The sequence below is a fragment of the Homo sapiens genome, chromosome 1 (genome assembly GCF_000001405.40).
Source record: "Homo sapiens chromosome 1, GRCh38.p14 Primary Assembly".
Taxonomy (NCBI): Eukaryota; Metazoa; Chordata; class Mammalia; order Primates; family Hominidae; genus Homo; species Homo sapiens.
In genome coordinates, this window is record NC_000001.11 from 1,766,164 (window position 1) to 1,781,928 (window position 15,765).

The following is a 15,765-nucleotide window of genomic DNA, read 5'->3' on the forward strand; positions in this document are numbered from 1 at the left end:
CTCTGGCCAGGTGCGGTGGCTCACCTGAGGTCGGGAGTTTGAGACCAGCCTGACCAACATGGAGAAACCCCCATCTCTATTAAAATTACAAAATTAGCTGGGCGTGGTTGCGCATGTCTGTAATCCCAGCTACTTGGGAGGTTGAGGCAGGAGAATCGCTTGAACCCGGGAAGCGGAGGTTGTGGTGAGCTGAGATTGTGCCACTGCACTCCAGCCTGGGCAACAAGAACGAAAGAAACTCCGTCTCAAAAAAAAAAAAAAAAAAAAAAAAAAAAAAAAAAAAAAAAGACAGGCTCTTTTCTCGTAAACAATACAACACATTAATGAGAGAGAAAGTGTGCAATTTCAAATACCCTAGTCCAGAAAAGCTGTCAAATAAAATTGAACCAGCAGATATGTTGTGAACTCCATGCCTTGCATCGTGAATTCAGCGCCAATGAAATATTTACCAAACTGACCAATATTAAGCCTCAAAGAAAACTGGTGAGGATAGAAAACCTCACCCTTTTTTCCCCTTTTTCTTTTTCTTTTTTTTTTTTTGAGACAGGATCCCACCTCAGCCTTCCAAGTAGCTGGGACTACAGGAGTACAGCACCACGTCCAGCTAATTTTTTTTCCTTTGGTAGAGACAGGGTGTCTTGCTCTGTTGCCCAGGCTGGTCTTCAATTCCTGGCCTCAAGTGATCCTCCCAACTCAGCCTCCCAACACAGTGCTAGGATTATAGGCATGAGCCACCATGCCTGGCCTAGAACCTCATCTTTTTTTTTTTGAGACAGAGTCTCACTCTGTCGCCCACGCTGGAGTGCAGTGGTGTGATCGCAGCTCACTGCAACGTCTGCTTCCCGGGTTCAAGTGATTTTCCTGCTTCAGCCTCCCTAGCAGCTGGGACTACAGGCGTGCGCCACCACGCTCAGCTAATTTTTTTGAATTTTTAGTAGAGATGGGGTTTCACCATGTTGGCCAGGCTGGTCTCCAACTCTTGACCTCAAATGATCTGCCCGCCTCAGCATCCCGAAGTGCTGGGATTACAGGCGTAAGCCACCACGCCCAGCCTAGAACCTCATCTTCTGACCACAATACAATAAAACCAGGAAGAGATAGAAACAAAGAAAAGCCCTCAGCCACTTGGAAGTTTCTGAACTTTCTCTTAAGCAACCCAGGGATCAAAGTGAAGATCAGACCCAACATCTGGAACACCCAGAAGCTGGAGGTGACATAAACAGGCTGCCAGGGTCGGTTCAATCCCATCAAAGCTGGGTCACAGCCCATGGGAAACCATGAACTGAGCATTCAAGCCAATAAAGCCAGAAATAGAATAAAACAAGCTTCAGAAGAACAGAAGAGGGGCCGTGCACAGAAACAATAAAAATCACTCAACAGAGGCTAAACACACAAAATAAAGCCAAACATACCTTCTCATTAAAGAAGATAAATCTTAATGAGGACAAGGTAGATTCTGGCATTAAAAAGGATAAATGTGACATTATGGACTGAATGTGTCCTCCCCAAATTTATTTTTTATTTTTATTTTGTAGAGACAAGGTCTCTCTGTGTTGCCTAGGCTGGTCTCAAACTCCTGGGCTCAGGTGATCCTCCTGCCTTGGCTTCCCAAAGTGCTTGGACTATAGGTGTGAGCCACTCCACCCAGCAATCCCCCCAAATTCCTACATTGAAGCCCTAACTTCCAGTGTGGCTGAATATGGAGGTGGGCCTCTAAGAAAGGAGTTAAATGGGCGCGGTGGCACACATCTGTAATCCTAACACTGTGGGAGGCTGAGGCGGGCAGATCATCTGAGGTCAGGAGCTCAAGACCAGCCTGACCAACATAGTGAAACTCTGTCCCTAAAAAATACAAAAATTAGCCGGGCGTGGTGGCGGGCGCCTGTAATCCTAGCTACTTGGGACGCTGAGGCAGGAGAAATGCTTGAACCCAGGAGGCAGAGGTTGCAGTGAGCCGAGATTGTGCCACTGCACTCCAGCCTGGGCCACAAGAGCAAAACTCCGTCTCAAAAAAAAAAAAAAAAGAAAAAATGAGGTCATAAGTGTGGGGTCTGATCAGACAGAATGAGCATCCTTGTAAGAAGAGACACCAGGCTAGGCACGGTGGCTCACTCATGTAATCCCAGGGCTTTGGGAGGCTGAGGTAAGAGGATCACTTGAGGCCAGGAGTTCAGGAACAGCCTGGGCAACATAGCAGGATTCTGTCTCTACAAAACAAAAACAAAAACAAAACCAAAACAAAAACAGTTGGACACAGTGGTGCATGCCTGCAGTCCCAGGTACTTGGAGGCTCCGGCAAGAGGATCAATGAGCCCAGGAGTTTGAGGTTTTGCAGTGAACTGTGATTGTGCTGTTGCACTCCAGCCTAGGCAATAGAGACCCTGTCTCAAAAACAAAACAGAACACCAGAGAGCTCTCTCCTCACCTCTGTTCCCACCCTCACTGGGCACAAAAGTAAAGCCATGTGGGGACACAGAGAAGATGGCCATTACAGTGAGAAAGAGAGTCTTTACGATGAACCAAATTAGCTGGGACCCTGACCTTGGACTCTTGGCCTCCAGAGCTCTGAGAACAAACATTTTTGTTGTTTACCCGCCCCCTGCCCCATGCCTGTGGCACTTTGTTACAGCAGCCTAAATAAAACAACTAAAATATGTGAGATGATGGCAAGGTGGGCAGAAGGAAAGTTCAGGAACTATGGACACAAGACTGTGGGCCCTATGCTACGGTCAAAGCCAACGGGTTCTCTGAATACCCAAAAGCTGGTTCTCTCTCTGGCTGCATTCTACAATCACCTTAGGAGCTTCAAACAACACCAATTCCTACGTGCCCTCCAGACTGAATGATCAGAACCTGAAGGTACAGCCCAGGCACCGGCACTTTAAAAGAGCTCCCCAGAAGATTCTAATGTTTAGCGAGAATTGACAGTACTGTCCCAGTGGGTCAATATCTCCCTAGCTTAAGACATACCAGGCGGGATGTGGTGGCTCACGCCTGTAATCCCAGTGCTTTGGGAGACCAAGGTGGGCGGATCACTTCAGGCCAGGAGTTCAAGACCAGCCTGGCCAACATGATGAAACCCTGTCTCGACTAAAAGTACAGGCTGGGTGCGGTGGTTCACGCCAGTAATCCCAGCACTTTGGAAGGCCGAAGCGGGCAGATCACCTGAGGTCAGATGTTTGTGACCAGCCTGGCCAACATGGCGAAACCCCGTCTCTACTAAAAATACAAAAAACAATTAGCCGGGCGTGGTGGTGGGCGCCTACACTCCCAGCTACTCAGGAGGCTGAGGCAGGAGAATGGCGTGAACCCAGGAGGCGGTGCTTGCAGCGAGCCGATATCGCGCCATGGCACTCCAGCTTGGGCAACAGAGCGAGACTCCGTCTCAAAAAAAAAACAAAAAACAAAAAACAAACTAGCCGCGTGTGGTGGCGCGTGCCTGTAATTCCAGCTGCTGGAGAGGGTGAGGCATGAGAATTCCTTGAACCTGGGAGGCAGAGGCTGCAGTGAGCTGAGATCGTGCCACTGCACTCTAACCTGGGCGACAGAGCAAGACTCCATCTCAAATGAAAAGAAAAAAAAAAAAAGAAAAAAGACATACCAGTGTTTTATTCAAATACATGAAAAATTCGGCCAGACACGGTGGCTCACACCTGTAATCCCAGCATTTTGGGAAGCCGAGGTGGGTGGATCATTTGAGGTCAGGAGTTTGAGACCAGCCTGACCAACACAGTGAAACCCTGTCTCTACTAAAAATACAAAAAAAGGGCTGGGAGCAGTGGCTCTTGCCTGTAATCCCAGCACTCAAAACAAAAACAAAAACAAAAACAAAAACAAAAACAAAAACAAAAAAATTAGCCTGGAGTGGTGGTGGGCACCTGTAACTCCAGCTATGCAGGAGGCTGAGGAAGGAGAACAGGAGAATTGCTGGAACCTATGAGGTGGAGGGTGCAGTGAGCCGAGATCGCACCACTCACTCCAGCCTGGGTGACAGAGTGAGACTCTGCCTCAATAAAAAGAAAAAAGAAAAAAAGAAAAAAAAACCATGAAAAATTCAATGAAAACCAGAACCTACAAAAACATGTCTGGTATAACTACTCCTATTGAGGACTATACTAGAGGCCACAGCCAGTGCAATAACATAAGAAAAAAATAAAAGGTACAGTGACAGAAAAGGTTTGGCATGAAATGTAGGTCTGTTAAACAAAATAAGAAAAGGAACAAGTGAAGTTGTACTTGCAGATGACATGACATTTCTATGTAGAAAAACAAATAAGTGAGTTTATTAGCAAGGTTTCAGAAGGCAAATTCAATACACAAAAATCGCCTGTATTTCTATATACTAGCAATAGACAACAGGAAATTGAGACCATCCTGGCTAACATGGTGAAACTCTGTCTCTACTAAAAATACAAAAAATTAGCCGGGCATGGTGGCGGGTGCCTGTAGTCCCAGCTACTCAAGAGGCTGAGGCAGGAGAATGGTGTGAACCCAGGAGGCAGAGCTTGCAGTGAGCGGAGATCGCACCACTGCACCCCAGCCTGGGTGACAGAGAGAGACTCTGTCTCAAAATAATAATAATAATAACAACAATATAATTTACAGCTGGGTGTGGTGGCTCACGCCTGTAATCCCAACACTGGGAGGCCGAGGTGGGTGGGGATCACCTGAGGTCAGGAGTTTGTGACTAGCCTGACCAACATGGTGAAACCCTGTCTCTACTAAATATAAAAAATTAGGCAGGCATGGTAGCACATGCCTGTAATCCCAGCTATTTGGGAGGCTGAGGCAGGAGAATCACTTGAACCTGAGAGGTGGAGGTTGCAGTAAGCCGAGATTGCACTGCAGCCTTGGTAACAAGAGTGAGATTTCATCTTATAAAAAAAAAAAAAATATATATATATATATATATACACACACACACACATATATTATTAAAAATATATATCTTATTAAAATATATATACATATATATGATCTATAATAGCATTAAAAATATAAAATATGTGGGGATATATTTGGCAAAAGACATGTCAGAACTGCACACTGAAAACTACAAAATATTGCTGACAGAGATGAAAGGAAACCTAAATAAATGGAGAGACATACCATGTTCATGGATTGGAGGACTCAATATTGAGATCTTAGTTCTCATCAAATTGATCTGCAAATGTTACCCAAACACAACCATCAAAAGCCAAGCAGGCTTCTCTAAAGGAAAGGACAAGCTGATAAAATTCACATGAAAATGTAAAGTATCTAGACCAGCTGAAAAAACTTTGAACAAGAACAAACGCGAAGGGCTAAGTTCATGACTTGTTGAAAAACTACGGGAACCAGACAGCGTGGCAGCATCAAGACGGACATACACATCAAGGAAACAGGACGGCCAGCCCAAAGGTAGACGCCACAGACCCTCACACACATGCAGTCCATGAATTTTTGACAGGTGCTGAGGTGATTCAACATGAGGAGGATCATCTTTTCACCTAATAGTTCTGAACAACTGGACAGCCACGTCTAAAAGAACGAAGCCCAACCACTTCCTCATACTACATACAAATATTAACTCAGAATGGATTATAGACCTAAATGTGAGGACTAAAACTATGAAACTTTTTAGAAGAAAGCACTGGAAATTTTTTTTTTTTTGTCTTTTTGTGAGACAGGATCTCCCACTGTTGCCCAGGCTGGAGTACAGTGGTGTGATCTCAGCTCACTGCAGCCTCAACCTTCCAGGCTCAAGCAATCCTCCCACTTCAGCCTCCCAAGTAGCTGGGATTACAGGCATGCACCACCACACCTGGAAATTTTTTTTTTTTTTTGGTGGAGATGGGGTCTCCCTATGTTGCACAGGCTGGTTTCAAACTCCTGGTCTCAAGTGATCCTCCCACCTTGGCCTTCCAAAGTGTTGGGATTACAGGCGTGAGCCACCTCACCCAGCTGGAAAAAGTCTTAGTGGTGTTTAAAATCTTTTATACTTAATGGAACCCTGAATTTTTTTTTTTTTTCCTGTTTTAGGCAGGGTCTTACTCTGTCCCCAGGCTGGAGTACAGTGATGTAATCATGGTTCACTGTAGCCTCTACCTACTGTGCTCAGACAATCTTCCCACCTCAGCCTCCTGAGTACCAGGGACTACAAGCATGCACCACCATGCCTGACTAATTTTTGTATTTTTTTGTAGAGATGAGGTTTTGCCATGTTGCCCAGGCTGACCTCGAACTCCTGGGCTCAAGCAATCTCTCTGCCTCAGCATCATAATGTGCTTGGATTACAGGCATGAGCCACTGTGCCTAGCCAAAACACTGTTAAGAAAATTAAAATACAGTTGGGTGTGGTGGCTTGTGCCTGTAATCCCAGCACTTTGGGAGGCCGAGGCGGGAGGATCGCTTGAGTCCAGGAGTTCAAGACCAGTTCTGTGTCTTGCTAGTGGTTATATAATTAATTTAAGAGGTAACACTGCATAGAGCCATACACACATGTAAAACTGGTGAAACCTGAATAAGGTCTATAGTTTAGTTAGCAGTATTTCAATTCCCTGGTTTTGATATTGTACTATGGAGGTGTATGGAGGTGTAAGATGTTAACACAAGGGCCGGGCATGGTGGCTCATGCCTGTAATCCCAGCACTTTCGGAGGCCAAGGCGGGCGGATCACCTGAGGTCAGGAGTTTGAGACCAGCCTGACCAACATGCAGAAACCGCGTTTCTACTAAAAATACAAAAAATCAGCCCGGCGTGGTGGCGCATGCCTGTAATCCCAGCCACTCGGGAGGCTGAGGCAGGAGAATCACTTGAACCTGGGAGGGGGAGGTTGCGGTGAGCTGAGATCACGCCATTGCACTCCAGCCTGGGCAACAAGAGCCAAACTCCATCTCAAAAAAAAAAAAAAAAAGATGTTAACACAGAGGGAGCTGGTGAAGGGCACAGGGGTCTCTCTGTACTATTTTTACAACTTCCTATGAATTAGTCTATGATTATTTTTTTTTTCCCCAGACGAAGTCTCGCTCTTGTCCCCCATGTTGGAGTGCAATGGCGCAATCTTGGCTCACTGCAACATCTGCCTCCAGGGTTCAAGCAATTCTCCTGCCTCAGCCTCCTGAGTAGCTGGGATTACAGGTGCCCGCCGCCACACCCGGCTAATTTTTGTATTTTAAGTAGAGATGGGGTTTCACCATGTTGACCAGGTTGGTCCTCAAACTCCTGACCTCAGGTGATCCGCCCGCCTCGGCCTCCCAAAGTGCTGGGATTACAGGTGTGAGCCACCGCACCCAGCCAATTATTTCAAAATAAACAGTTAATAAAGGTCAGACACAGTGGCTCACACTTGTAATCCCAGCACTTTGGGAGGCCGAAGCAGGGGAATCACCTGAAGCCAGGAATTGGAGACCAGCCTGGGCAACACAGCAAGACCCCGTCTCTACAAAAACATTAATAAAAAATAAACAAATCAAAATCACAAAATGTTAAAAAAAATGTATTATTACTGCTACATTACCTAGAAGCTCTATTTTGTGTGTGTGTGTGTGTGTGTGTGTGTGTGTGTGTGTGTGTGTGTGTGTGTGTGAGAGAGAGAGAGAAATAGAGATATTGAGAGACTGAGAGGTAGGGTCTTGCTCTGTCACCTAAGCTGGAGTGCAGTGGTGCAATTACAGCTTACTGCAGCCTCAATCTCCCAGGCTTAAGGGATCCTCCCATGTAGCTGAGACTACAGGCATGAGCCACTATGTCCAGCTAATTTTTAAATTTTTTGTAGAGACAGGGTCTCGCTACCTTGAACGGGCTGACCTTGAACTCCTGGGCTCTGGTGGCCCTCCTGTGTTGACCTCCCAAAGCATTGGGATTACAGGCATGAGCCACTGCACCCAGCCTAGAAGCTCTGTTCATATTTATTTGCGAAGATCAATTTGATGACTAAGCAGTAAACTAATTTATAAAATAATATTAAATATTAAAACCAACTTTAAACAATTATCTTCACCTATGTATGTGTGTGTGTGTATATATATACACACACACACACACATATATATATATTTAACAAGTATCTCCAATACCACAACCAGTGTATTTTTTGTTTTTTTGAGATGGAGCTTCGCTGATGTTGTCCAGGCTGGAGTGCAGTGGCGCGATCTCGGCTCACCGCAAACTCTGCCTCCCAGGTTCAAGCAATTCTCCTGCCTCAGCTTCCCAAGTAGCTGGGACTACAGGTGTGCGCCACCACGCCCAGCTAATTTTGTATTTTTAGTGGAGACCTGCCTCTTAATTCTCCAACATGGAGGGGTTTCTCCATGTTGGTCAGGCTGGTCTCAAACTCTCAACCTCAGATGATCCGCCCGCCTTGGCCTCCCAAAGTGCTGGGATTGCAGGCGTCGCCACCGCGCACGGCCACCATTATGCCTCGGCCTCCCACAGTGCTGGGATTACGGGCGTGGCCACTGCGCGCGGCCACCATTGTGCCTCGGCCTCCCACAGTGCTGGGATTGCAGGCGTGGCCACCGTGCGCGGTCACCACTGTATTTTTTGACAAGGGTGAGTCAGGACTGACACTTAATTCATTTGTTTGATATATTAACTGCTTTAAAAGGACACACAATGCTAGCTGCACCAAAGTGCATTCAAATTCCTCATAGCATGAATCTAATTTTAAAAAACCTTTGTAGGGCGGGCATGGTGGCTCACGACTGTAATCCCAGCATTTTGGGAGGCCGAGGCGGGCAGATCACGACATCAGGAGTTCAACACCAGCCTGGCCAAGATGGTGAAACTCCGTCTCTACTAAAAATACAAAAAAAATTAGCTGGGCGCGGTGGCAGGCGCCTGTCATCCCAGCTACTCAGGAGGCCGAGGCAGGAGAATCGCTTGAACCCAGGCGGCAGAGGTTGCAGTGAGCTGAGATCACGCCACTGCCCTCCAGCCTGGGGGACAGAGTGAGACTCCGCCTCAAAGAAAAAAAAAAAATCCTCTGTATTAGGAAGTTTTATTAGAAAAAAATACTAGAGCACAATAAGAAAATATTCATAACGAACTTATACAAAGTAGCAAGGAAAACATTAAGATGCCAATAAATAAATGTGCAAAGAACATGAACAAAAGTCACACACACACAAATACAAACATAATACACGAGTTCGTTCCCATGTAAGAACTCAATCAATATTTGTTGCAAGACTAAATGAAAAAGGAAAATTTATTTAGTGACAGAAATGGGGAAACATTCAACCTCAACCCTGAGTGGGAAAAAACTTACTGCCCACTAAATTACCCATCTCATCTCACCCCGGTAAATAATGCCCAGTGCTGGCATGCACACTGGCAGTATACAAACTGAGAAAGACTTTCTGGAAAGTGCTACAGCCATGTGACCACAGGGCTTCACCCTGTGACCTCATTAAACCTAAGCAGATTACAGGTCTGAAGGGGGCTTTCTTTAGATGTGGCTCCACCTACTTAGGGGCAGATGAAGAAAACAGGGGTCTGGGCAGTTCTGAATGGGAAGGCCAGGCATCACCTCCCTCTTCAGTTGCACAAAGTGTGCGTGGCATCCTCACATCCCATCTGCCTCAATTTCGCTTTTTCTCTGAACACTTTTCACCATCTGTCTGAAGCACACACACACATTTTATTCACTTCCCCATTCCCATGCATGAATGCTAGGACCTTTGCAATTGTGGGCCAGGAAAGATTGCAAATGATAAGCCACCAGCACAGAGAGTAGAAATGAAATCCTGGGGTTACAAGCTAAAGCATTACTGACACCCACTTGTCCAGAACGGCTGAAGCTGGGCGGTGACTGTCAACAGGTATATACGGACTAGAAAGTGGAGCTGCTGGAGGAGGCCCTGTACCTTCCTGCCATGACACAGCCTCCCCCCAAGTGCTGGGCTTGTGTGCTCAACACTCCCTCTTGCTGTCATCCTACCACACCTGCAGACTGGAGGTAATCCAGATGCAAGGCCGTCGAGTCCCGCAAACACCCACCTGCCTCTTAATTTTCCAAGTGAGACCTACATTTCCTCAAGCGTGAAGCTCAATAAAATCAACTATTGTTTTCCGTTTTCATCACGAGCGCCACTTTCCCCCTATTTGTTCACCGCCTCCACTCCACAAGAACTGCTCTTGACTTGGCCAACTTTCTGGGACACCCTCACTACAAGGATTTATGAGTCAAACAGGTTTTTGTGCTAGCCTGGAAATCTAACTGCTGACAGCAGTTGTTTCAAGAAGAAAATGCTGTTTTGGAACCAAACAGCAGGCTGCCAACTGAAACAACATAAACCCACCTCCAAGTTCAAATGAAACAAACAAACAAAAAGACTGGTCCAAGTGAGGCAAGCTGTGGTGGCTCACACCTGTAATCCCAGCACTTTGGGAGGCCAAGGTGGGCTGATCACGAGGTCAGGAGTTCGAGACAAGCCTGGCCAACACAGTGAAACCCGTCTCTACTAAAAATACAAAAATTAGCTGAGCGTGGTGGTGGGCGCCTGTAATCCCAGCTACTCAGGAGGCTGAGGCAGGAAAATCACTTGAACCCGGGAGGTGGAGGTTGCAGTGAGCCGAGATTGTGCCACTGCACTCCAGCCTGGGCAACAGAGCTAGACTCTGTCTTAAAAAAAAAAAAAAAAAAAAAAGACTGGTCAAAGTGGCTTACGTCTGTAAGATCAGCACTTTGGGAAGTGGAGGCAGGAGGATCTCTTGAGGCCAGGAGGTTGAGACTAGCCTGGACAACACAGTGAGACTCTATCTCTACAAAAAATTTTATAAATCAGCTAGGTGTGGTGGTGCAGGCCTGTAATCCCAGCTACTCAGGAGGCTGAGGTGGGAGGATCAATTGAGCCCAGGAATTTGAGGTTACAGTGAGCTATAATCATGCCACCATAAACACGCCTGGAGGACAGAGTGAGGCCCTGTTTCTAACATACACACACATATACACACAGAAACATCTCGAGAGGACACCTCCAAATGATGAAGCTATTTTGTTGGGTACTGCGGTGGCACCTGTGATTCCTCAAGTAGCTTGGAATCAGCGTGCTAACACCATAAAGTGGCTGCAAAAGTCCCAGTGAAGTCACTGCTGAGAGCAAACAGGCCTTACAGAGAAGTTCCAAGGGGACAGGAAATTTCCAGAGGCTTGAGAGGACAATGTTCAGGGGAATAAGTACTTGAAGGGAATTATCTAACAAGGTGTTAAAGTAACTAGCTTCTTAGACAAGATGACATCAGGAGGAAAAAAAAACTTATTAAGGCAAACATGTCAGTTTCAGGCCAACTAAGGCTGTCAGAGAGACATGGAACACAAGAAGAGAAGAGTTTTGAAATGTATTCCCATCAAGAGCCAAGAATAATGAACTTTTGAATGTAAAACTTAGTGTGTTCCAAAACAAGAAAGGAAAAATAACTTGTTACTCGGAATCGAAGCCAAAAGGAATCTCATTGCTTGGGGAGGAGGGATGGGAGGGTGGGGGTGGTCCTTGGCCTGGGAAGGAAAACTCCACCAGGCCTTCGGAGCTGGGCACGCCCTGTTCCCACAATTAAGAAAAAAAACGACGACCTAGAGCTCAAGGCCGGTGCTGACATCTGACCTACTGGATGGCAGCCGCCTGTAGGAACATCACCATAGACTATTGGAATTTTCTGGCAAGTACTGGGCACTAAATCAGAGATGTGTTTTTAGAGAATTCCATGCCAATACTGCTGTATAGAATCTTTTATTCATACTTTCCCACTAGGTTTGGGCCCCTCTAAGCTTTCACGAGTCAAAGACCCCTCCTGCTTGCTGAAACCACCCACGGAAGGCCGGACACCGAGGACCTGGCCGCCCAAGCAGAGGCGACTGACAAGCGCGGTCCGGGCTGGACGGCCCCACCTTCCCCGCCCGGGAGAGCCAGGCCGGACAGCGGCCTCCCTCAGACCCGTCCCCAAGGCCGAGCCTCGCCCTGGGCCGTGCTGGTGCCCCATTCGGGACGGAGCGGTGGCCCGTCAGCACTTCCACGGCCTCCTCAGCAGGCCAGATGGGCAGGGCCGGCCTGGTGTCTCCCCGCCTGGCCGCGCGCTCGCGGGCAGCGATGACCCCAGGCAGCGGGCGACCCCAGGCGGACGGCAGGCCGGGTCTGCTCACTCACCGTTCGCTGCCGCGGGCGCCTGCGGGGGCGTCTACATGCCGGACCGAGCCCGCAGGCCCCGCCGCCGCGCCGCCGCCAGCCGTCGCTACCTGGCCCTTGGCGCCCTGGCCGCCTGTTGCCCCATGGCCGCCCGGACCCCGGCGCCGGCGCCGCCGAGCAGCAATGCGCCGCGCCCGCCCACTGCGCAGGCGCACCCGCCACGCATGCGCGCTGCCGCGCACGTGGGGCGTCCCGCGCGTCTGCCGGGTCCCACCGGCGCCGGGACACCCCGCGCGGGCGGGAGGCGGCGGGCGTGGCGGGAAAGAGGCGGGCGGTGGGGAAGAGGGGCGAATCGCGGTGGAGAGCAGTGACCAGGGAGTGGAGGCGGGCAGCGGGGACAGGGGCGGGCGTCCGCGACTCGGGTAGGCGGGGGTCGGCGCCCCGAGGAGGGCGGCCCCCGGCTCCCGTCCCCACTCACCTGCCGCGTCCGGAGGGCGCCCCCGGGTCCGCCCGCCACGTCTACGCCTAGGCGCCCCCGACATTGTGATCCCAGCCCGGCGTCCCGCCCCCAACTCACCGCCACCGCGGGCGGGACCTCCCGGACCACGTGGGCCGGCTCAGGGGAGTGCAGGTGCCCCGCGAGAGCTGGCCCCGCCCGCCGCCGCTTCCCTAATTACCGGGCTGTGACACGGTGTGGGCCGAGCCGGATTTGGGAACCGAAACTTAGAGCAGCTGCGGCAGCGCTGCGCTCCCTCGGGGCTGTCCGTCGGGGCTGGGAGGGCGGCCCTGCGCCTGGGGGAACCGCGATCGGCCTCACGCCCACCTCTAGCGGCCAGGTGCGCCTTGCACGCCCACGAACGTCCTCAGAGGTCTACGCTTGGGATCCCAAGGCTGGCAGTGGAGGGAGGACCCGGTGGCCTGGGGCACCTCTAGGGGGACCAGGGAGCCGTGTTTTGCGCACCCCACAGGCTGGAGGACTCGGGGAGTTGGGGGAGGAGGCCAAAGCCACAGGAGCGGACTTTGTAGTGTTTGTTGGAACTGCGGGTCCCACCCAGCCCGCACTTGCTGAACTGGTGGCTGCTCATCAGCGCCTTCAGGCCTCAAATATCCCAATAATGTGCCCTATACCCAGTTCTCAGCTCTCGAGTCACTGTCAGGTAAACTGGCAATGCACGACCAGCTGCTCTAACCTGCTGGTCCCCCAGGTGCCAGACATTGTTTTGTTTTTCTGAGATAGTGTCTCATTCGTCCCCCAGGCCGGAGTCCAGTGGCGGGCTCACGGCTCACTGCAGCCTTGACCTCTCAGGTGCAAGCGATCCTTCCACTTCAGCTTCCCTAGTAGTTGGGACTACAAGTAGGTCCCGCCACACTCGACTACTTCATTCATATATATATATATTTGTGTGTGTGTGTGTGTGTGTGTGTAGAGATGAGGTTTTACCATTTTGCCCAGGCTGGGTCTCAAACTTCACCCGCCTCGGCCTCCCAAAGTACTAGGATTATAGGCGTAAGCCACTGCACCTGGCCCAGCCATTGTTTTCTGAGGTTCAGTCCCTGTCTATACTTTCTGTGTGATCACCTGGCCCAGGGTCGGTGTGGACCTGAGTCCTCTGCAGCCCTTCCCCACACCCGCATACCTGCTCTCTGGTCAGGACTCCTGGGACTTGAATCCAGAGACACGGAACACGGCCTGGCCAAGTCTTCCTGAAAAACACAGCTCTTCAGTTCAGGACCACAGTGAAGTACAGGGCACCAAGGGTGACTGGAAAGGGAAGCAAGGATCATGAGAACTTGGGGGATTTCTTAAGCTCTGTAACTTCTCCCGGGGTTATTTTGCAAACCCAACTGTTTCAAAGTGACCACCAGCCACACCCACAGAAGCGGCCTTGAGCTGCCCAGTTCTTTTTCTTTGGCGGGGGGAGAGGGGGCGGATAAGATCATTAACATAATAATGCGTGAGCTGAGTTTTTGCATATGATCATTAGCATAATAATGCTTGATCTAGATGGCGCACCCACAAGCCAGGCACTGAGCCAGGCCTCAGTAGAATCTTCTAGAGTGGAGGCAGTCAACTGCTTCTGCAGAGGCAACCAGTGACTGTCGTGGGCCCCAGGTCACACAGCAGGTGCCCTTCGCGTGTCCCGCTGTGTAGGGAGCTCCAGCAGCTGCCCCGTCTGTGGCATGAAAACCCTTTGTCTACCCTGGGCCTGGGCACTGCCTGCAGGAGAGCTTCCCTGTTTCAGAGATGAGAAAACAAAACCAGGGCTGTGGTTTCCTTCAGCTGACAGGTTGTGCAATTTCTCAGGGCAGGCCCCGGATATGACCTTGAAGATTCAGGGGCCAAGATCTCACACCCACACCTCACCCCAGGCCTGGCCAGCAATAACTAAGACCAAAGCTGGGAAGGCTCCTTAGGGCACCCAGAATGGTCCAAGAGGCAGCTTTGCTTGGGCTGAGACCAAAGGGAAGAGATGTTCCCGCAGCAGGAACAGAAGGGTCCAGGGCTATCATGGGGGCTTCTGCCAGATGGTGCACAGGAAGAGGCTCTGCCTTCAAGGGATTGGGGGTCAGGAAAGGCCCCCTCCTGCCTGACCAGGCCCCAGGGATGGGGCAGCAGTGGGTGGCATCCCCTGCCCTGACCTTCCTCAGCCCCAGGGCTGCCATTGCTCAAGGTGGCAGTGGACTCTTCACATAATTTCGCATTGTTTTTTGTATTCTTTAAGGATGGCTCCCATGTTGTTTACTTCAGAACCCCCAAAACCTGGACCCATCCTCTTCTGGGGGTCAGCAGGGATGGGGAGGGTGGAGGGAGAAGGGGGAACGGAGGCCATGAGGGATGGAGCAGGATGGGGTGCACTGGGGTACAGGTTGCTCCTGGGGAGGCTGAGGAGAGAGGGAAGTTGGCTTCAGGTGGCCTGGCTCCAGTAAACTGGGTGAACGAAGTCTGCCCAGAACCCACAAGGGTAAGTGGCCTGGAGCCTGGGGAAAGGATGACTGGGAAGGACTGAGGCTCCCAGTGAAGGACATCAGTATGGCAGGCTATCTGGTCATCTCATCCAGCCTCCAGCCAGCACCCGGCACAGGCCCTGCCCAGGCTGAAAGCCAGGATAGGGGCGTCTGCAGGGGCCAGTGTCTGGATCTGCTCACATGACAGTCTTCTGTTTGGCCTGGTTTGGGGCGAGGGGCAACCTCTTTCCCAGGATGCCAGCCATGTGCAGGGCATACTGAGGATTCAACAGTGGAAACCAAAGTCCATCAGGTGTTCACCTTCTAGTGGGGCAGACGGGCAAGAAGCAGAATTGGTGGGGGCAGGCAGGGGTTGGGGTACAGTTTTGACCAAGGTACCCAGGGACAAGTGTTTCTCTCTCAGGCAGAGGCAGCAGCAAGGACCAGGACCCTGAAGTGGTGAGAGCCTAGAGTGGGCGGGGATCATCAACAGTAACCACCTGGCAGGACTGGGACTCCCTGTGTCCTCACAAGATCCTTACCAAGCAGCCTAGTATAAGACGAAGTCTCGCTCTGTAGCTCAGGCTGGAGTGTAGTGGCATGATCTCAGCTCACTGCAAGCTCCGCCTCCCGGGTTCAAGCCATTCTCCTGCCTCAGCCTCCAGAGCTGGAGTTACAGGCGCACACCACTGAACCCGGCTCATTTTTTGTATTT

The 15,765-nt window shown here is 50.3% G+C and overlaps 1 protein-coding gene across 9 annotated transcripts in view, besides 6 other annotated features; it reads right to left on the reverse strand.

The window, feature by feature from the left end:
* Nucleotides 1-14,351, reverse strand: part of NADK (NAD kinase) — a 29,283-nt gene extending 14,932 nt beyond the window's left edge. For 4 of the 9 annotated variants that reach the window (XR_946747.3, NM_023018.5, XM_047428656.1 and 1 more), the window contains exon 1: nt 12,126-12,307. The gene's annotated coding sequence lies outside the window, so the exon portion shown is untranslated. Of the gene's footprint in view, nt 1-12,125; nt 12,308-12,582; nt 12,654-13,741; nt 13,869-14,118 lie in introns of those variants that run through there. The other 5 variants (XM_011542009.3, NM_001353641.2, NM_001198994.2 and 2 more) reach the window with 3 other exon arrangements.
* Nucleotides 7,945-8,446: an enhancer, noted in NCBI's record as "H3K4me1 hESC enhancer chr1:1705547-1706048 (GRCh37/hg19 assembly coordinates)". NCBI's record gives its function as "activates a minimal SCP1, AML or CMV promoter by ChIP-STARR-seq in naive H9 embryonic stem cells {active_cell/tissue: H9 hESC(naive)}" and the evidence as "EXISTENCE:reporter gene assay evidence [ECO:0000049][PMID:30033119]".
* Nucleotides 11,823-13,022: a silencer, noted in NCBI's record as "silent region_90". NCBI's record gives its function as "represses an Ori minimal core promoter by ATAC-STARR-seq in GM12878 lymphoblastoid cells {active_cell/tissue: GM12878}" and the evidence as "EXISTENCE:reporter gene assay evidence [ECO:0000049][PMID:35858748]".
* Nucleotides 14,083-14,252: an enhancer, noted in NCBI's record as "active region_33". NCBI's record gives its function as "activates an Ori minimal core promoter by ATAC-STARR-seq in GM12878 lymphoblastoid cells {active_cell/tissue: GM12878}" and the evidence as "EXISTENCE:reporter gene assay evidence [ECO:0000049][PMID:35858748]".
* Nucleotides 14,263-14,322: an enhancer, noted in NCBI's record as "active region_34". NCBI's record gives its function as "activates an Ori minimal core promoter by ATAC-STARR-seq in GM12878 lymphoblastoid cells {active_cell/tissue: GM12878}" and the evidence as "EXISTENCE:reporter gene assay evidence [ECO:0000049][PMID:35858748]".
* Nucleotides 14,333-14,402: an enhancer, noted in NCBI's record as "active region_35". NCBI's record gives its function as "activates an Ori minimal core promoter by ATAC-STARR-seq in GM12878 lymphoblastoid cells {active_cell/tissue: GM12878}" and the evidence as "EXISTENCE:reporter gene assay evidence [ECO:0000049][PMID:35858748]".
* Nucleotides 14,413-14,512: an enhancer, noted in NCBI's record as "active region_36". NCBI's record gives its function as "activates an Ori minimal core promoter by ATAC-STARR-seq in GM12878 lymphoblastoid cells {active_cell/tissue: GM12878}" and the evidence as "EXISTENCE:reporter gene assay evidence [ECO:0000049][PMID:35858748]".